This window comes from Homo sapiens, chromosome 10 (genome assembly GCF_000001405.40).
Source record: "Homo sapiens chromosome 10, GRCh38.p14 Primary Assembly".
Classification (NCBI taxonomy): domain Eukaryota; kingdom Metazoa; phylum Chordata; class Mammalia; order Primates; family Hominidae; genus Homo; species Homo sapiens.
Window position 1 is genome coordinate 126,968,291 of NC_000010.11, and position 20,875 is coordinate 126,989,165.

At 44.9% G+C, this 20,875-nt stretch overlaps 1 protein-coding gene across 24 annotated transcripts in view; it reads left to right on the forward strand.

Moving 5' to 3' along the window:
- The window catches only part of DOCK1 (dedicator of cytokinesis 1), a 547,089-nt gene that overhangs the window by 62,863 nt on the left and 463,351 nt on the right, over positions 1-20,875 (forward strand). For 21 of the 24 annotated variants that reach the window (XR_007061946.1, NM_001290223.2, NM_001377546.1 and 18 more), the window contains exons 2-5: positions 2,412-2,495; positions 9,658-9,698; positions 13,628-13,683; positions 19,231-19,327. Coding sequence is in view for 23 of the 24 variants with exons in the window: in NM_001290223.2 (NP_001277152.2) it covers positions 2,412-2,495; positions 9,658-9,698; positions 13,628-13,683; positions 19,231-19,327 (278 nt within the window). In the remaining variant the exon portion in view is untranslated. Of the gene's footprint in view, positions 1-2,411; positions 2,496-6,292; positions 6,329-9,657; positions 9,699-13,627; positions 13,684-19,230; positions 19,328-20,875 lie in introns of all 24 variants that reach the window. The other 3 variants (NM_001377544.1, NM_001377548.1, NM_001377560.1) reach the window with 3 other exon arrangements.

Here is a 20,875-nt window from a genome sequence, read left to right on the forward strand (position 1 = left end):
TGGGATTATTTAATCATTAGTCCTAAAATGAACAAAGGGCTAGGGGCTGGGCATCTGGGGTTGTGATCTTGACTGGGTTGCATGATTTGGGGCCATGTGCATAACCCCTGAGGCTCTTTTTTTTCTTACCTACAAAATCATGGGTTGTCTGGCTCATTTCACAGTTAAATGTGAAGTTTCCATATCCATGTATGAGATTTCAATCACTGCTTTCCACTGTCTGCTTTAGGGATTGGGGAGTAGGGTATTTAGAGGTGAAACAGGAAGAAAGGAATTATGTGTATGTGCTTTACAAATTCACAGGTGCTTGAATGTATTTACCCTTGATGTGCTCATTTTATTTCATTTCTATGATTTTTGACGTGTTTATTTTTCCCACGTCTAGAACAGAATAGGTGTGCTGGCAGGGATGCTGTTAGGAACTGTGATAGATGTATTTATGGTTCCTGAAGGTTTACGAATACGGTCATGCTGAGCTGGGGAAGTCCAGCCTCTGCCCTGGGCTTCCTTCACCTGATGCAGTTATTTCTTGTTAAAGATTCACTGTAAAATGCCAAATAAACTTAATAACTAACTAATAACCATCTTTGTCAGTTGAGGACACTTACATTTTATGAATTTTGGGGAAAATATAGGAAGATACCTGAGGAAATAGAATTTTCAATATCATAGGTCTAGCTTTTGATATTACAGAATTTTTGTGCACATGTGGCAATGTGCTTGCTTTGGCTTTCTAAAAAGAATTCAGGTAGCGGTAGACATCTTGATAGCAGTAAAAAAAATACAACCAAAAGGAAGGCCTTCACCGTTACCTGAGTGTTCACCATGGACCCCATTGTGCCAGATCCAACAGGGGCATCATTTTCTCTAAGACACAAAACACACACGCAATTCTACGAGGTCAGTATCCGGTCCTTATTTTGGCCATTGAAAACCTGAAGATAGAGCAGATCGTTTGCCAGAGGGCAGGCACCCAGGGGCTCGGGGAGGGGTGCTGCCCTACCCACTTTAGCTGTCTGTAGAGACCATGAACGTGAACACCAGGAGGCTGCGTGCGCCTGAAATTCTGGACTTTACAGCCTGAGGTGCAGCTCAGGCAGCTCAGGTTTATGGAGGCCATTCCTTGTACGGCTAAGCACCTTCCTGTCCTTGGAGGTGTGGGCAGGAAATGTTGAAAGGTGGGTGGCTCTGCCCTCTGGTGGCTTTTCTTTAGTTGGGGATGTCTTAACACACACATCTGAAATAAGACTGGCTCATGCAGAACAAGAGATGGGAAGCTTTGCGTGGTGCCAGGGCTGTTTGGAGGAGCGGAGTTAAAAGATCAAACACAGACTTGGGTCTGGCTTTCGTGATGAGGTGCACCCAGTGGGAAGGCCCAGCTGGCGAGGGAGAAGTTGGTACCCAAAGATGTGGGCTGGACTGGCTTCTTTCCTTCAGTAGAAGCAAGGGCCCAGGGAAGGGAGTGTGTGGTGGGAAGGTACGGTGGCCCGTGCTTGCCAGAGGAGTTTGCACATGACATGGTTTAATTTTAGAGAATTTTAGAGGTGTGCCACAATGCAGGTGCCTTTTGTGCATAGCCTCGCCTGGCTGGGCTGTGCAGGATGGATGGATGAGAGCTTTGATCCGCGATTTTGAAGATGAGTTTTATATTGAATGCTATATCCTATTAGGTAGAGGCTGTTGGGTAGGAGGAACATTAATATATATTTTTTTAAATTGAGAGTGGGCTAGTTGAATACTTTTTGGGCCTTAAACACTTTGTAGCATCCTTTTTACACCTGTGACTGCTGCCTTTATTCCATAATGCATGAGCAAAAGTGTGGTTGGAATTTAATGGTGTGACTTTTTAGGGGCTTATGTAGGAGCACTATGATCCTTTTGCAAAATAGGAGCAGCTTTATGTCAGGATAAACATGGGATTTCAGACATTTCTTGCTTATCATTGTCAGTTTTAAGGATTTCTTCTAACACAGGACATATTTTTGTCTACTGTGATTGTAAAATCTATTGGCTTAATATCAACATTGCTATATGATAATTTTTTTATTAATTTGGTTTCCAAAGAATATTCACTCCATGTGCAATTGATTCATAGGCAGATAAAAATCTATTAGTGGAAATAAAAGATAGTATTGAAGTGTCAATCAAAATACTGTTAACAATGTCTTCTTATGTCACTTATGGTCATCTGGTGTCATGGGTAGTTATGAATTTCTCCTCCTTAAACTATTGACCCTTTATATTTGTCTGAAAGAAAAGGTCACTTCTGTGGGTATCAGAGAGGATGATGCAGGCAGCGACTGAATGTATTTCAATATTAAAAACAACAACATTAAAACAAGCCAACACGACTCAGCATGGTCACTTCTATCTTTACTATTACTAATATATTTCCCCTTTTTTCATCACAGCTTTTTATAACTATGATGCCAGAGGAGCGGATGAACTTTCTTTACAGATCGGAGACACTGTGCACATCTTAGAAACATATGAAGGTGCGTATGCATCTTGGTATCTTTTCTCTTACATTTTGGGCAGATGGCACACCTTCTCAGTGCCTGCTGGGCAAAGCATTCCTCTGTTACAGACACATAAGACAGTCATGCTTCCTTCTCAGGCTCCCTTTTCTTGCAGATGGATACTGTTTCAGGTAAGGGTAGTAGTGAGGCTGTTGTTTAATACTTTCTGAAGGTGAACTTAAAACTGAAATTCCCATTTTTAAACTCCTTGGCTCCTTATTTTCAAGCATGTGTAAATCTTTTTTTTTTTTTTCCTTTTGAGACAGAGTCTTGCTCTGTCGCACAGGCTGGAGTGAGGTGGTGTAATCTCAGCTCACTGCAACCTCTGCCTCCCAGGTACAAGTGACTCTCATGCTTTAGCCTCCCGAGTAGCTGGGATTACAGGTGCCCGCCACCATGCCTGGCAAATTTTTTTGTATTTTTAGTAGAGACTGCATTTCACCCTGTTGGTCAGGCTGGTCTCGAACTCCTGACCTCAAATGATCTGCCCACCTCAGCCTCCCAAAGTACTGGGATTACAGGTGTGGTCCACTCTGCCTGGCCAAGTGTGTATAAATCTTGATTGTTAACAGTTGACCACTTGATAAAAAATAGGTTTAAGATAGTTTACTTCGTTGTTTTGAGACAGGGTCTTGCTCCATCGTGCAGGTTGGAGTGCAGTGGCACAATCAGAGCTCACCGCAGGCAGCCTCCCCATCTTGGGCTCAAGCAGTCTTGCCACCTCAGGCTCCCAAGTAGCTGGGACTACAGGTGCATGCTGCCACACTCAGCTAATTATTTATATTTTTTGTAGAGACAGGATTTCACCATGTTGCCCAGGCTGGTCCTGAACTCCTGAGCTCAAGTGATTTGCCTGCCTCAGCCTCTCAGAATGCTGGAATTACAGGCGTGAGCCACTGTGCCTAGCCTGCTTCATTGTTTTGATGTGTTTGATGTGAACTAAGATTTCTTCTTTTAATGTCCTCACTTAGATTTGTTAGCAGTATATGTCTCAGAGGAACCCCAATTTTCATCCTTTCCTTTTTTTTTAAACCTGTAATCCCCATTTTCTTGGGATGAACAGAGATTTATCATAGTTATATGGGATGCCGTCCAATGAAGCAATATTTTTTTTTGTTTTTTTTGAGACGGAGTTTTGCTCTTGTTGCCCAGGCTGGAGTGCAATGGCGCGATTTTGGCCCACCACAGCCTCTGCCTCCCAGGTTCAAGCGATTCTCCTGCCTCAGCCTCCTGAGTAGCTGGGATTACAGGCATGTGTCACTGTACCCACCTAATTTTGTATTTTTAGTAGTGACGGGGTTTCTCCTTGTTGGTCAGGCTGGTCTTGAACTCCCAACCTCAGGTGATTTGCCCGCCTCGGCCTCCCAAAGTGCTAGGATTACAGGCATGAGCCACCGTGCCCGTCCTGAAGCAATTGTTATAATTATCCAATAAATAAACTATTGGTGACAGTGGTTTTCCAATGTCCTTGGCTTTTCAGACAATTTGTTTTTATATTTTGTGTTTGCAAATAATTTGAGCATGCCATATTTCATTTTATGCTGTGGTTATTGTTGCACAGAAGGGAAGAAATGATGGGCTTGATTTTTTAAAGACTGTTCAGATCTGGAGGTTTTGGTGAGATTGTGTTTTCTTATTGTTGTCGGCTTAATTTCCTGCTTGAAAGGGTGGTTCCCATATAGCATATGAATAAAAAGGATAATTTCAGTAGAAAAACTGCTTTTTCACAGAGGTTTTTTAGCAAAACCCTTCCACATGGGAGGTTGGGGGTGAGAGGGGAAATTGAAGACATCCCGTAGTAATCAGCAAATTGAACTTCCAACTTGAAATCCACTTTACAAGGAATGAAGTATGCCCAGCTTCCTGCTCGAGGCAAACTGTGACCAGCTCCTGGTAGACTCCTCTGAGAAACACAGACCTACTAACAGATCCATGTTCATGGCCCTTATTTCCCCATCTGATGCATGCTGTACCTTCCCTAAAAAAGTCCTGTCTGAAAAAAAAAATCGACTTTAGTGGCCTCTGCGTGGAAGCCAGTGCAGCTCTGCAAAAACCAGCCCCAGTCCTTAAGCGGATGAGTAGTTGTGATGGGGTCTTCTGCTTGTTTTCCGTGTTTACAGCTGACAGCTGTGTTCCCTTATCTCCTCTCAGTATATACTGCATGTGTCTGAGAGGAGACAGAGAGAAATTAAGTAGAGGTTAAGGATCAAACCGCTCATCTCAGACACTTTTCTGATTTGAAGGGAAATGCTCTTGTATCTTGTTTTACTTTTGCTGCCGGTCAGTTGAAGTTGAAATCCTGGTTAATAAACACTGGGCAATGATGTCATTCCTGAATAGTTAATGATTTCCTGTGGCCCCTGGGCCTGTGGAGACTGCATTTTTGTTCTTTGCTTCATAAGAGGAATGCGTGTGTGGTGGTGGTTTTTTTTTTTTTGAGATGGAGGCTCGCTCTGTCGCCCGGGCTGGAGTATGGTGGTGCAATTTCAGCTCACTGCAACCTCTGCCTCCTGGGTTCAAGGGATTCTCCTGCCTCAGCATCCTGAGTACCTGGGATTGCAGGTGCCCACCACCATGCCCAGCTGAGGAATGTGTTTTTTAAACAGTGGACTCCTCGGGCATGTCAGTGGTCCTTGTAATACGTGTAACTTCAAAAATATCTGATTGCAGGCATTTGACTTTTTGGCTGACATCATGATAAGAGATCTACAGTGAACATTAATTTTCTGGGCTAGTCATTCTTTCTAGATTCTGATGAAAATATTTCAGTCTTTGTAAAGACTCTTTAGCATAAAATGAATTTCCGTTCCTTGACAACTAACTTTTTGGTTTTAATCTGAATCTAATCAGAGAAATGCATTTGGAGAAGTATTAATAGTTTTGACTTTGGGGAGTGTGGTGACTTTTTGTCATTAAATAAAAAGAGAATAATGTACTTCCATTTGTTTTCCAATATCTTCCTCTTGTTTTATCTAAATTTCATGGCTTGTATTAGAGTCTGGCATTTTCTTTTTCTTTCCTTGGCTCTCCTTTTCCTCTAAGATGACTTTTTGGTTTAGCAAGTTTGATTTTCTTTTTTTCTATGATCCTTTCCAGGATATTACAGAGCTTGCTCCAGAGGCTATAATTTCTAGATGATAAATCTTTATTTTAGGGTTCAAAGACTAAATTTACCTTCAAGTTGTGGTTAATTTCTCTTTCTTGAGCTCACGAAGGCTTACAGCATAGAACAAAGAAAATGAGCTTTCTAGCTCATGGTGGAAGTGGAAAGAGCTTTGAGAGCTCATTCGTGCAGACCCCTGCCTTTAAACAATGTCCTACCTCCAGATAGGAGAGGTGAGGCCAGGCCCCAGTGTTGATTGAGTGACTCTTGTCTGGTCAAGGGCGTGCCAATCCTGCTGTCGACTCGTTTCCATAGGGTCCCCAGGGCTTCCATAGCGTCCCCAGGGTGAGATGCTGCACCAGAGGCAAGCTGCAGGCATTGCCCAAAGTTGAGGAAATTGTCCTTTTGATTCAGCCACATTCAAACTTAATTTATTCAACTCTTTAAAAGGGATAGTGATGCATTTTCTTCTAAAATGACTAGACCGCCATTTTCCTGTGCTGGACTGTGTCCTCCCCGAGTTTGGGACCTGTGTCTTGCCTGTATTTGCCTGTTCCCTGGGTGGATGTCTCTTTTTTTGGAGCAGGTTGGTTGACTACGTGGAGGCCACTTGCAAGCCGTGCCAGGGAGAAGTTAATTCTGTAACAGCTGTGAATCTTTCTCCTTCCAGCCTCATCCCCTCTTTGCTGTGCCCCAGAGCAGCCAGGTAATCGTTCCGTTCTGTTCTCTTACTCTCCGGTGCAAAACCTCTGCCGGGACATCCTCTCTCCTTCATGCCGAACTCTGTCATGCAGCAGGGTTTGTGGTGTGACCCCTACTTGTCTTAGGGCACTTCCAGTTTCTGAGCTCATGGAGGACAGAGATTGGGTCTAATCTCTTTCTGTATTTGTGGCACCCAGTGTGGTCTCTGGTACATGGTGTGCGGGCTCACTTTGTTGAAGAAATAGTGCATGCCAAAAATCGTGGGGAGGAAAACCATGGTTTTCATTTTGCTTAGGAAGGCCATTAGAAGAGGAATCGACTGCCTATGAACATTAAATAAAGACACAAAACTCCTTGCCTTTCATGCCTACTGCTTGGCCCTTCCTCCTCCTGCCTCCCATAGAAAACCTTTCTACTGTGTGTGAAGTGGCCTCTCGTTTGCCTGTGTTCTCGTGCTGTTTGGTGTGCATCTGTTTTTAACAGATGTAAGTGTGTCATTATAGTCTTGTTCTGTTTTTTATTTTCCCTCGTGCTCCATTTAAAATGCACTGTGTTCTCTGTGTCCCTTTAGTCCATGGCTCTAACTGCATCGTGTGCACATTTCATGTTTTACTAACTGCCTGCCTCCCCGGGTATGAGCACTTAGGTTGTCCCCGCTTCCCACCACCCAAGATCAAGCTGCCCTGAGCATCCCATGTCCATCTCACTCTGCAGGGCACACAGATGTCTTTGGGCTGCGTTCCCAGGAGGGGGTTGCTGGGTCTTGGGTGTGGAGATGTAGACTTTGGATAAGCAGGGCCTGCTTCTCCCAGGCTGGTTGCCGCAGTGGACACTGCCACCCACGGTGACCAGGGGCTTCCTGCATCCTGCAGTGTTCTGCCTTCTACCACTCTTAACTGTGTACTTTTCATTTCTCTGACTATTATTAAACTGAAGCATCTCTTCATACATGTTGAGGTCTTATGGGTTTCTTCTATACATAGTTTATAAACTTTGCTCATTTTCTTTCTTTTCTTTTTTTTTTTTTTGAGATGGAGTCTTGCTCTATTGCCCAGGCTGGAGTGCAGTGGCATGATCTCAGCTCACTGCAACCTCTGCCTCCCTGGTTCAGGTGATTCTCAGCTTCCCGAGTACCTGGTATTACAGGTGCACGCCACCACGCCCAGCCAATTTTTTTTTTTTTAGTAGAGACGGGGTTTTGCCATGTTGGCCAGGCTAGTCTTGGAACTCCAGACCTCAAGTTATCTGCCCTCTTCGGCTGCCCAAAATACCAGGATGACAGGAGTAAGCCACCACTCTTGGCCTCATTTTCTTACTATACTTAGTTGCTGTCTTTTTGTGTCTCTGTATTATTTCCTTATGTATTCTAAGACGTTAATCTTTGTCAGTTTCAGAAAAGAAAGGACATATTAATGTTGAAAATGCAGGAAGACTATAATAGGATAAAGGACAGTTGTTGAAACTGAGTACACAGCTTTGCATAACTCATTCAACTGACCTTTCTTTTTCCTTTTTGATATATGAGCACTGTGTCATAGATGGGCTTTGATATATGAGCACTGTGTCATAGATGGGCGCTGATACTGGGCCAGCTTATCAAAACCACTGAACTTGACAATATGGCTATCAGGAGATAATCCTTCAAATGTGTGGCTGAAGTCTAGGCATTTTGTATCTGAGGTTCCCCCAATCAGTCTGTTGAGTCTCCAGTCAAGAGAGTGAAATGAGTTCAGTTCATCATAACTGGGTCTTAGCAAAACCTTTGCCAGAGTCCTGGCAGTTTCTGTCCTCTTTTCTGGATATGCAGAAAACAGCTGGTTAGTCATCCCTTGGGGATTCTGCTCATCTTAACACCATCACTTTCTGGTTCACAATCATCCTTTTCATCCCTGGTTGTGAAAATTTTCACCTTTTGAGAGAGGTGGAGGCCAGTTGCTGTGACAATGGCCCGTTTTCACATCTGTCTGATCTTTGGTTCTGAGGTTTGCCTTTTTAATAGTGTAAAGAAACCCAGTATTTGGTTATTCTCTGGGAATTTACCCAGCTCACGTTTTCCAAGTGCCCTCTGTCACTCTCTGACAGGGTCCTTTGTTCCTATGGGGCAGAGTTGGGATTTGTCTTTAAGCTTTTTTTTTTTGAGATAGAGTCTTGCTCTCTCATCCAGGCTGGAGTGCAGTGGCATGATCTTAGCTCACTGCAACCTCTGCCTCTCGGGTTTAAGCAATTCTCCTGCCTCAGCCTCCTGAGTAGCTGTGATCATAGGGGCTTACCACCATGCTTGGCTAATTTTTGTATTTTTTATTAGAGATGGGCTTTCACCATGTTGGCCAGGCTGGTCTTGAACTCCTGACCTCAAGTGATCCACCTGCCTTGGCCTCCCAAAATGCCAGGATTATAGGCGTGAGCCACTGTGCCTGGCCTCTTTGAGCTTTTGATTAGCTTTCCAGAAACTAGATGGCCTGGAGTGACTTCAGAATGTTTGGGAGTAAAAAATCATCCATCTGAACTCACAAATGGTGGGGTGCTTGGAGGCTGGATACTGACGGTAGACCCCTAGGCCTTTGCAGGGGCAGTTCCTGTCCTCAGCCTGAGAGGGGTGCCAGGGGTGTGGCTGGGTCTGGTCCCTTGTTGAAGGGACTCTTCTGTGTGGCATCCATGGCATGCGGATGGTTCGAGTGTGTCTTTCTTTCTGCTCTCACTATTTTCTTTCTCTCGCCACTTGGAAGGAGCGAGAAGTGGAGCCTGGGCCAAACCCAAAGGGCAGGTGTGTCCTGTGCTTGGCCCTGGAGCTTCCTGTGGGTTGAGGGCTGTATTGTTGCTACAGAAGTACTTTGTGAGGTCGTGGCTGCTCCAGGAAAAAGTGCCCTGTCTTGAAGTGGGAGGAAGTTCTCTCTCAATGGGTTTTCTGTTTTGGGGCAGCGAGATGCTGACATGTGCCCTTGGAGAGATCTTGGTCTAAATCAGGCAGAGGGAGAGTGAAGAAAATGCATACACAAGGAGCCTACTCAGGGCCAGTGGTTGAAAGGACAAGTCCTGCTCTTGGAACTGTGCATCTGAACTTCAAACTGCTGCTTCCGAACCACATGAGATGACGGAGGTGAAGGTATGGAGGCCCATGTGTGAAGGTTGCCAGCTGGGCTCCGGGTGCGCTGTTGAAATGCTCTCTGGGAAACCACGTAGTATATCTCCAAAGCCTTAGGTTCACTGAAAAATGCTGGTGACAAACTGACCTCACTGGTTCTGCCAAACAGTGAGTTCTACACATCATGAATGTATTGTGAGGACCCTAACATGTCTCTTTGTACTAACTGTTTCAACTTTGTGTTTGTTTAGGGTGGTACCGAGGTTACACGTTACGAAAAAAGTCTAAGAAGGTAAGTCCTTCTTCTTAAACACAGTGCATGTCTCTTCATAAATCACACCTTGAGAGGAAATCAATTCCATCTCATTTGTGTCTGAGGGTTTTACTTCTATATCTCTTTCTCTGAATTTAAAAAAATATATGGGTAGGAATGTGAACGAGCTTGGATTGTTTTCTTCTGAACAATATGTGTACATAGAAATTGTAGCTTCATCTCCGTGAGTGAATTGCTAGTTTGTGATATAGTGTTGGCCTGTTGTCTTCTGTTCATGAATTTTGTGTCCTTTTTAGGTCTGTGTGTGTCAGAGAATGATCCGAGTAAAGCGACTTCAGGAAAAAAATTATTTCTCACAGTTGTCAATCTTATGTTGTCCTTAATAATAGATTAGCAAATTTGCAAGCTCATGCATGCTGTTTCCCTCTTGCATATAACTGTTTTTACTCTGCCTAAGTCAAGCTGTGAAAAAAGGAGTTCTGCTCTCCTAGAGCAGTTTGCATGAGTGGTTGTTTGAATTTCTGAAACTAAGACATGTAATTACACCTCGGATCATTGTGGTGGGCACTCCCATACACAATTCTGTTGTGGCTTTAACATTCTTAGCTTCATGGAACCTAATTATGGCTCTTCTGTTTCATTCTACGATGTTAAGATTTTGAAGTAACCTCTATTCTAAGCTGTGGTTGGGCTGTCCACGTTACCCAATATGTTTTAATATCTAATTATGTTTGACCCGATGTGTTTTAATATCTAATTATGTTTGACGGATGGTTCATTTTACTTTTGTGTCCTAAATTTACCTCTCATTATCTCCTTATTGGGCTGGACTCTGGATTGTGGTCCTGAGCCTGTAATAAGTCCTCCAAAGTCTAGTGGCCCAAGTGCCAGGGTCCTTCCACTCTGCCTTCCCCAGAGCCCCTAACCCAGGCTTTGCTGAGCAGGTCAGAATGGGTCATCCTCTCGCAACACCAGCACTTGGGAAGGATCCAGGGTGGTCCCTATGGCAGCCATCCTCTGGCACAGTCATGTCTAATGTGAGAGACAGTGTTAGGAAATCAGTGAGCCAGATCTGCAAATTGGGACCAGGACCTCTTACCTCCACCTTGCCAACCTCAGACTGGGCTACAGGTCTCTACACATCAGTGACCTATAGCCTTGAAGTTTGCACAAGATCGATTTCAATCCAGTGGATGGTGGAATAGATTTCTCCAAGGAAAGTTCTATTTTCACATTGGTTTTCCCTTCCCCAATCAAGAGTGAATTCCAGCCAGGCCCAAAGATATGCACCTGTAGGCCCAGCTACTTGAGAGACTGAAGTGGGAGGATTGCTTGAGCTCAGGAGATTGAGACCAGCCTCTGCTGGTCATAATGAGTGAGATCTATCCCTAAAAAAATAGTGTGTATCTGCAGATGAAGCTCTGAATTTAGGAAAGCTGCAGTTGAAACCTTTAGTAATAAGAGATTAAGATCATGGACTAATATGCCCCTCCCCCATCACATTCCTACATAGGACACAACTGCCACATCCTGGGCTGGATGTGCCCCAGGCAAGCTGTTCCTTTTTCTTTGAATCTTACTTGGTATTTGTTATCACCTTCCCCAATTTGAGATCTCTTCCATTCCCACAATGCCTCCTGAAACCACAGTATTTCTGCACTACACCTGGGCACCTAGACATCATAACTCATTCATAACTCATCAACACAGTAGCGCTGGGTAGGGCATAGCTATTTTTCCATCTAAGATCTCCACTGGTAGATGAATAAATCCAAGCTTTACAGAGATTATAAATTTGTAAGGGGCCTCCTAGGCAGTAGCAGAAAAGGGATGTGGGCCCTAGGAATCCTGGCACCACGTGTCTGTAAACAACTTTCCTGTAGTTATAAGTGTGCAGTTGATTGGGGTGGTGCTGAGCAGGCCCAGCGGAAGTTGCGCATTTCAAACCTGCAGGTGTGTCCAGCCTCACTCAGTCATTATCCTTCCTGTGGCTTCATGATTCTCCAGTGGGTTTGCTGAGATTGAGGGTTGTCTCCACCTGTGGACATGGACAAGACTGGGACTGGTTTTTTGTTTTTCTCCCCCATCTGGGTGGACACCTATTGCTATCATGGAAAGAAACCCAGGAGGGTGTACCTGGGATTTGGAGGTGTCCCGGATAACCAGGACCTGAACACAGCAACCCAGCGTTGGGTCCCTTCAGACTTCTGTTTTTTTTAAGTTAATGTTTTATTTTTTTGGAGACAGGGTCTCACTTTGTGGCTCAGACTGAGTGCGGTGGCACGATCATAGATCACTGCCACCGCGACTTCCTGGGCTCAAGGTATTCTCCTCCCTCAGCCTCCCAAGTAGCTGGGACTACAGGTGCACACCACCATGCCTAACTAATTTGTAAAAAAAATTTCGGCAGTGAAAGGGTCTCACCATCTTGCCCTGGCTGTTGGTGAGCTCCTAGGCTCCTAGGCTGAAGTGATCCTCTCACCTTGGCTTCCCGAAGTGCCGGTTGCAGGTGTGCACCTCTGAGCCTGGCCCAGCCTTGTTTGTTGCTCAGCCTCTGACTCTCTGCCTGACGCCTTCCCTCTCTGTGATAATTCTTCTTTATATGGAATTTGGCCACTTTCCTTGTTGGCAGAAGCAACATGAATCATTGGTGCCTGCTAGACCAGTTCAGCCCCCTGCCTGCCCCCTGCCCACCCCCTGCCCTTCCCAAACTTGATTAGTAGCTTGTTTTCTGCATCATTCAGGGCTGAATGCCGGGGAAACCCATGCAGAAGCTTCCATTCCCACAACAGGTGCCTTGAAGCCACAGGGGTGCCACTTTATCAATTTCTGCTGCATGCACTAAATCTCATGCAGGAAGCGGTAGCTGGGCTGCGTTGCACTGCCCAAGACCCCAACCCCGTTGCCTCTTTTCTTACCTTTGCTTTATTCCAGTAAGGGAGTTATTTTGCTTGCTCAGAAAGCAGGACCCTACGTTTTTTTTTTTTTTTTTCCTGAGGCGGAGTCTCGCTCTGTCGCCCAGGCTGGAGCGCAGTGGCGGGATCTCTGCTCACTGCAACCTCCACTTCCCGGGTTCAAGCGATTCTCCTGCCTCAGCCTCCTGAGTAGCTGGGACTACAGGTGCCCGCCACCACACCCGGCTAATTTTTGTATTTTTAGTAGAGATGGGGTTTCACCATGTTGGCCAGGCTGGTCTTGAACTCCTGACCTCAGGTGATCCACACACCTGAGCCTCCCAAAGTGCTGGGATTACATCGTGCCTGGCCTCGGACCCAAACTCTTGATAAAGCTCTTTCTGGCACTTCACAGAATGTGCCTGAGGCTGAATGTCCTGTTGAGAAACTCTCCCCAGGCTTCATTCTCTTGGGCTCACATGTGCATTGCACTTGAGGGAGGCCGACCAGCTTATCAGCGGAAGCTAGGGTGTACCCCCAGGTGTTGTGCAGATTGGGCGAAATTCGGCCTGTCTTTCTGTATTTTACCAGAGGGCCCCCCTGTTGGGGAAGTCTCTGAGAAAGTCTCTGTGGGTCTGGGTACGTGGTCAGTGCACAAGGGACAATTGGTGGTGTAAACCAACTTTCATCATTTTGAAAGAGGAGACCATCATCAAAAATTGCTTTTGAGACATCAGTTGGCCTTTGTTCTGCCTGCATTGAGGCCAAAAAGGTGTGATCTATGGAGCAGCCTGCAAATTGCCTGTATCTTTGTGGACTTTTTCCTTTGCAAGTGTGTTGCCTGTTTGCTTCTAAGACATCGGCAGACTGCAATACAAGCCAAATGAGTTGCCGTCTTTTCTACTTCTTTGTGTTTTCTTTGATATGTTAAGACTTAAAAAATTAAGAGCGATCTAGCCACCCCTCACCCCACCTTTTTGGGAACTATTGTTTGATTTACATTCAGCAATCCTATTGATAATAAAAGCTACTGTTTTTTTTTTCCTCCCAAAGGGTATATTTCCTGCTTCATATATTCATCTTAAAGAAGCGATAGTTGAAGGAAAAGGGTGAGTCTGGTCTTGATGTTTAAATGAAGAATTGCAAGTACTATATTTGGCCTTGCTGCTCTTTTGTACGATGGCGTAATATGAGAGGGTCAAGACAATGGGTGTGATTGACTCCTGGGGGACAGGAGTTTTGGGGAGAGAAAGGGGACTTGTGATTCAGAGTTGTGTTTAACATGGCTTTTATCCTTTATGGAGTCTGAAGTCAGCACCATACTTGGCAGTTACTGTCCTTGAACCTGGGGTCACTATTGGAAAGCATTCGCCCTGGTGCTCTGTGCTTCCTCTGTGAGCTACTGACTTCATTTGGCAGAGACTCCAAAGCCCCCCAGCTCTGAGTCCCCTTTTTTTTGGGAAGACATTGCAGGCTGTGATATAAATGGAGTTTAGGGTGAAGCAACAGTTGTTAAATTGGGACATGCAGGAGTTTACATTTTGTCTAATTGTGATGTATGTTTCCTAGAGGTCATAAAACTGATGTATAAGATCATTAAAAGGACATTTCTAGAACAGGAACCCATTAGGCAGGAATGGCAGATGAATAACCAGGTGTGAACTTGGAAGAAGGAACATTAAAATGTTTTCTTTTTTTGTCTCTGCTACATCTTCACACTCAGTTAAATATGTAAATTATAAAATTACTAATCATATGATTACTGCATAATGACATCTCTTTGGCTGATTACAAAATTGCCTTTCCAAGCACTGTACTTTTAACATATGAAAAGAACCGTTCGGGTTCCATAGTTCCATGATGCATACTTAAAATGAAGAAAATAATTTAGAGGCATGAATGATGATGACCTGCAATATGGTACTTTTTAGACAGATAAAGTGTTTTGTATGCAAAGTTTTAAAGGGAAGAAAAAGAAAGTTGAGACTTTTACTCTGTGGAAGTAACTGGATCAAGTGTGCATTTAGTGTACTTTATATCTGCATTAGAATCCTTATACAGGGCAGACTGTGTATGATTATTTAAAAAGCACTTTGATGTATACAAAAGAATATATGTAAAATGTAATTATGAAGCATGATAATAAAGTGAACAACAGGTTATTCTGAGTCTCAATAAGTAGAGTCACACCTAACCAGACAGGCAGACAGAGACACATTTGGTTCCTGTTCCTGGGCCTTCTGGTCCAAGGTGCCCCACTGTGGGCAAATGCATAGAGCTATGGTGAAATGAACAGTTTAGAAACAATTTCCCTGCCTTTGCTTTGGGTTCCCTGTGATTGTTCTCCACACTGTTTTCCTGGCTCTATCTGTCTCCCTTGCCACGGCCACTCAAGCCTAGCTGCCCAACAGCTCCTTCCCTGAAGAACCCCGGCCTTCAGGCTTGACAGGTGATCTCATCCCTCTTCTTTTCCTCCAGGTTGTTGTAGACTTCCACCTTCCCTTCTTCTCCTGGTCCTTTCCCCTTTCTAGTGCCAATGTGGGCCACGCTTTCATCCCACCTCTGCCTGCCTTCTTGCTCTCCAAGTTTATTGTCCTGTCTCTCTTGCAGAGTCTGTCTCTTTCAGGATCTGTCTCTTGCTGGTCTCTTGCATGATCGTTCTCATATGGCCTCTGTCTTGCAGGCTGCCTTGTAAGCCTCTCTTTCTTGCATGAGCTCTCTCTTGCATGATCTGTCTCTTGCAGGCTCTGTCTTTCTCTTGCAGGCTCTGTCTTTCTTTTACAGGCTCTGTCTTTCTCTTGCAAGGCTCTCTCTCATGTGATCTCTCTCACAGTATCTTGCTTGCATTGACTCTCGTGAAGGATCTCTTTTGCTTTGTCTCTCTTCTCTCTGGACGCTGACTTCATTCATTCTCAGACATCCCAAATGATTACTCTATGCCTGTTACCACTGATTCTGTACCTATTCCCCCATAACCAAAGCAATTCCCATTTTGTCCTCCATGCTTTTCCCAGTACTGACATGGTTAGCAATGCCTCCTTATGTCTGGACCTCACAGTGTCTTCTCATCCTCTGCCTCTGGAGCTCCACTGCAGCCTTGGACACGTTGGTCCTTGCTTCACTGAAAGCCCCTCTTAACGCCGATGCTCTTATCCTCTTCTTATTATGCTGACCTACTGCTCAGGCATGTCACCGTCTCCTCTGTCCTGTGTCCGCTACTCTGAGGGTGCTGTCCTAGCCTTCTCCTATTTCTTTGTTGCCCCTCCCTGATTGACATGGCCTCTGTTGCGTTTCCCTCTTCAGCTGATCTGTCTCTGTGGGTGATGCTCACATCGGGACCACCAGCCCTGATTTGTCTCTTGACCCCTCATTCAGTTAGGCAGCCAAGTAACTAATGAGAATCATCCCCACTGTTGGGTGAGCATCTGCTATGTCCCATTCATTCTCTTTTCAAAAAAAATTATTATTATTTTTATTTTGTATTGTGTATTTTTATTTTATGAGATGGAGTCTTGCTCTGTCACCCAGGTTGAAGTGCAGTGGCGAGATCTTGGCTCACTGCAACCTCTGCCTCCAGGTTCAAGTGATTCTCCTGCCTTAGCCTCCCCAGTGGCTGGGACTACAGGCATTCACCACCATGCCCAGCTAATTTTTGTGTGTGTGTGTGTGTGTTTTTTTTTTTTCAGTAGAGATGGGGTTTCACCATGGTGGCCAGGCTGGTCTTGAACTTCTGACCTTAAGTGATCTGCCTGCCTTGGCCTCCCAAAGTGCTGGGATTACAGATGTGAGCCACCGCACCCGGCCAAAAAATTATTTTTAGATTTGACAAATAAAAATTGTATGTATTTATGGTGTGCAACATGATGTTTTGAAGTATGTATACATTGTGGGATGGCTAAATCAAACTATGTGTGCATTACCTTACATACTTATCATTTGTTTGTAGTGAGAACACTTAAAATCTACTCTCAGCAATTTCGAGTATACAATACATAGCTATTGTAGTCACCTTGGTGTAGGATAGGAGGCCTGTTGAACTTATTCCTTCTGTCTAACAGAAACTCGGTGTCCCTTTGACCCATCATCTCCCCACTCCCCTATGTCCCATTCTTTTTTTTTTTTTTTTTTTTTTTTGAGACGAAGTCTTGCTCTGTCGCCCAGGCTGGAGTGCAGTAGCATGATCTCCGCTCACTGCAACCTCTGCCTCCTGCGTTCAAGCGATTCTCCTGTCTCAGCCTCCCAAGTAGCTGGGATTACAGGCGCACGCCACCATGCCTGGCTAATTTTTGTATTTTTAGTAGAGACAGGGTTTCACCACGTTGGCCAAGCTGGCTTTGAACCCCTGACCTCACGTGCTCTACCCGCTTTAGCCTCCCGAAGTGTTGTGATTACAGGCGTGAGCCACCGCGTGGAGCCCCATTCATTCTTAAAGATGCTCTGCCTTGATGCACTTTCCCTCAGTCTTACCAGCAGCCCTATGAGGCAGGCATTATTGGGGTTACATATTCTTGAACACTGGCAGGTAACAAGGTGGTAACAAAGGTAAGACAATAAAGCCAGATCAAATGTGTTAATGCCAGCTGGCACATTAATCCCAGGGATCCACTGGGCCTACCAGAAGGGAGGAACCTAAGGTGGAACCAGAACCAACAGCAGGACATGGTGCATGCACTGAGGCCCTATTCACATGGTGGAAGGGAGGTCGTTGAGCTCCAGGCTTCTCATAGCCAGTGTGAGGAGCACCAGTGCACTCAACCCAGGATCCGTAAGATGAAAACAGCCCAGTCGTTGTTGCAGATCCTCATACTGTGAGTGGAAGGAAATTTCTCCCTGCAGACTTTATAGGGATGACACCGTAGCATGTAATGAACCGCATTTCCATCAGCATCCTTACTGGGAAACTTGGGGACATCCTTGGCAGGGCTGTTTTAATAGTCATGTTCTTCAGTAGACACTGATGGTGGCCCATGAAAGGGTCATTTTGTTGTTGTTGTTTTTGAGATGGTGTCTCGCTTTGTTGCCCAGGCTGGAGTGCAATGGTACAATCTTGGCTCACTGCAACTTCCGTCTCCCGGGTTCAAGTGATTCTCCTGCTTCAGCCTCCTGAGTAGCTGGGATTACAGGCCCGCACCACCATGCCCGGCTGATTTTTTGTATTTATTTATTTTTAGTAGAGACGGGGTTTCACCATGTTGGCCAGGCTGGTCTCGAACTCCTGATCCACCCACCTCGGCCTCCCAAAGTGCTGAGATTACAGGCGTGAGCCACCACACCCAGCCCAAAGGGTCATTCTTCATAGCAGTTTTCTAGGGGATGGTTTTGCCTGCACCCTTCCCTCTGATGTCTGGTTCTGGAACTATCCATGAGACCACCGTTCTTCCAGGGTCCCCGTTGTCTGTTGCTTTGGGATCCTCCCCTCCACTGTCAATAAGTCATCACAGGCCTGATCTCCAATCGTGAGCCAGTCAGGGTTCCTTCCACAGGTCTGGGCTCTGTGCACATCAAGGGTTGTAGGTGGGAACTATTGTAGCATCCCTCGGCATCCCATGCTGGCCACATTCTTGCCTGTTCAGGACACACAGACAACCTGTGGGGCCAGCTAGCCTAACTACACCAGCCACAAATTCACTCTCTCCCCCTAACCCTCAGTAGTCTGAGTCTTACTTAGCATAGTGCCTGACCCAGAGCACATGCCCAGGAAGCAGTGGTTGATTTGATGAAAACGAGCGCATAAATAGGTAATGAGTTAAGAATAAGTCAAGGGGCTGGGCGCGGTGGCTCATGCCTGTAATCCCAGCACTTTGGGAGGCTGAGGTGGGAGTATCACCTGAAGTCAGGCGTTCAAGACCAGCCTGGCCAATATGGTGAAACCTCATCTCTACTAAAAATACAAAAATTAGCCGGGCATGGTGGTGGGCACCTGTAGTCCCAGCTGCTTGGGAGGCTGAAGCAGGAGAATCGCTTGAACCTGGGAGGCAGAGATTGCAGTGAGCCGAGATTGCACCACTGCACTCCAGCCTGTGTGACAGAGCGAGACACCGTTTCAAAAAAGAAGAGTAAGTCAAAGGTTAAACTTTTGGGGCGGAGGAAAAAGGATAAGAAAGAGGATACAGAGTTTAATCAGAGTTGGCATCAGATAGAGTAACCATGGACATTTGGAAGCTGTAACCTCTCTCATATTTCGCCAAGGATAACTGCTTCCTGTATTATCATGTAATGAGTTTTATGCGTGATGGAAAATGTAAAAGTAATCTTAACCCAAACCTGCATTTTAATGCCACATGGACCGGCTGTAATTTATGGCATCTTTAAGATAGATGGGTACACATATTATGAATATACTTTCCTTTTGCCAGACCTTGACATTCTGTAGACTTTTAATGGAATATTATTTGCCTCTTTCATCTTACTTTGACGTATGAGGTGGATGGCTTACGTGCAGGGTAATGTATGAACCTTCCCAAGCTCTGTACAAATATAACTTGTCATTCGTAGAGACGTATGTATTTATATGTGTGCATGCAGTCTTATTTGTAGATTTTCTTCCCATTTGCTTAATACTGAACGCTATGGCCTAGATGTGAAATTTACCAGGTACTACTCATAGCAGGCAGTGAAACCGTGGACTCAGCTGCTCTTTCCTTCTTTCCTCCCAGGCAACATGAAACAGTCATCCCGGGTGACCTCCCCCTCATCCAGGAAGTCACCACGACACTCCGAGAGTGGTCCACCATCTGGAGGCAGCTCTACGTGGTGAGAAAATGAGATATTCATTCAAAGCTTAGAAATAGAGAGTGGGCTTTTTTGACCCTGATATGCCAATGGGATGTTTTTTTTTCTCAGCGAAACTTAAAAGCAGAGCTTCCGAGACAGAGTTTTACTCGGAATTGGCAAAGGAAGCGACATGGCTGAGAGTTTAGCCCCTGCTGGGGGCTGTGTGCCCTTCGACCTGCCATGTATTTGGGTGTATTACAGTGAGCTGTAGCAGAAGGGACTGTAGGATGTGTCTTTCCTTGCATTGGAAGGAGAAATGTGGTTGTTTCAGGCCCCTGGAATGCAGGATCGGGCAGTGGGTGTTGATGTCACCTTTTAAACAGTAATAGGTGCTTATTTAAGGATCCGGTAGAGGGCAATTACTATTTTTTTTTTTTTTTTTGCCGTTGTCTGACAGTAGGTAATACCTCTTATCATTTAAGAAAAACAACAGTCTTCTAGATTTACCTGTGTTTGTGACAGGAATAGGGAAATATTTTACATTCTAGCTTCGTGTGCAATTGTCCAGTTCTCCTGATCACAGAAGAAGTCTTATTAATGCAGAGAGGTTGAAGCTCTGACATCTTCCATTTCGTATTCCCTCGGGGCATTTCTTTGCACATAAATTCATATTTGCAGTAGATTACCTTTTGTTAAGCTTGTATTTCTATTCAGAGTGTTGATTTCTCATATGCTAATGTTATTACCACCAAGCCAGGGCTCTGGAAGGAAGTCGGTACGTTCATTTCTTGAGAACATAGAAAACTTCCTAAAGTCCTGCAGCTGCTTGTTGGGCAGGCTTGTTGTTTTTGATTATACAGTGGTTTCCTATAAATGCACAGTAATAAGCAGTTGCAGTAATTGTCATCAAACGTACTGAAAAACCTAAAAGCGTAAAGTTAGCCATGAATGTTTTGTGTAAATCTGAGCAATTCTGTAGTCAGGGTTTCATCTTCAACTTAGCAATTTTTAAACAAAAATATGGCAACAAAACAAACAGGAGTTGATGCTCATAGTCAGTGGACCTACTTAAGTCTGTAACCCTAGAGTAGGTATTCTTAATGAGCACCTTGGTTTCCTTTTACAAAACTTAAATTTGCCTCTGATAGACTTACATGGTTGGATTTGTGCAAAGAAAGCTAACCCCCAAAATGGCTATAATATTTTTATATGGGCTGGGCGCAGTGGCTTATGCCTGTAATCCCAGCACTTAGGGAGGCCGAGGCGGATGGATCACTTGAGGTGAGGAGTTTGAGACCAGCCCGGCCAACATGGTGAAACCCCGTCCCTACTAAAAATACAAAAATTAGCTGAGCATGGTGGAGCATGCCTGTAGTCCCAGCTACTTGGGAAGCTTAGGCAGGAGAATTGCTTGATCCTGGAAGGCGGAGGTTGCAATGAGCCAAGATTGCGCCACTGCACTCCAGCCTGAGTAACAGAGCGAGACCCCTTCTCAAAAAAAAAAAAAAAATGCATTTTTTTGCTGCACATTGTAGATATTAGCAAAATAGTAAGGATTTTAGATAGTTGATACAGCCTTAGAGCAGT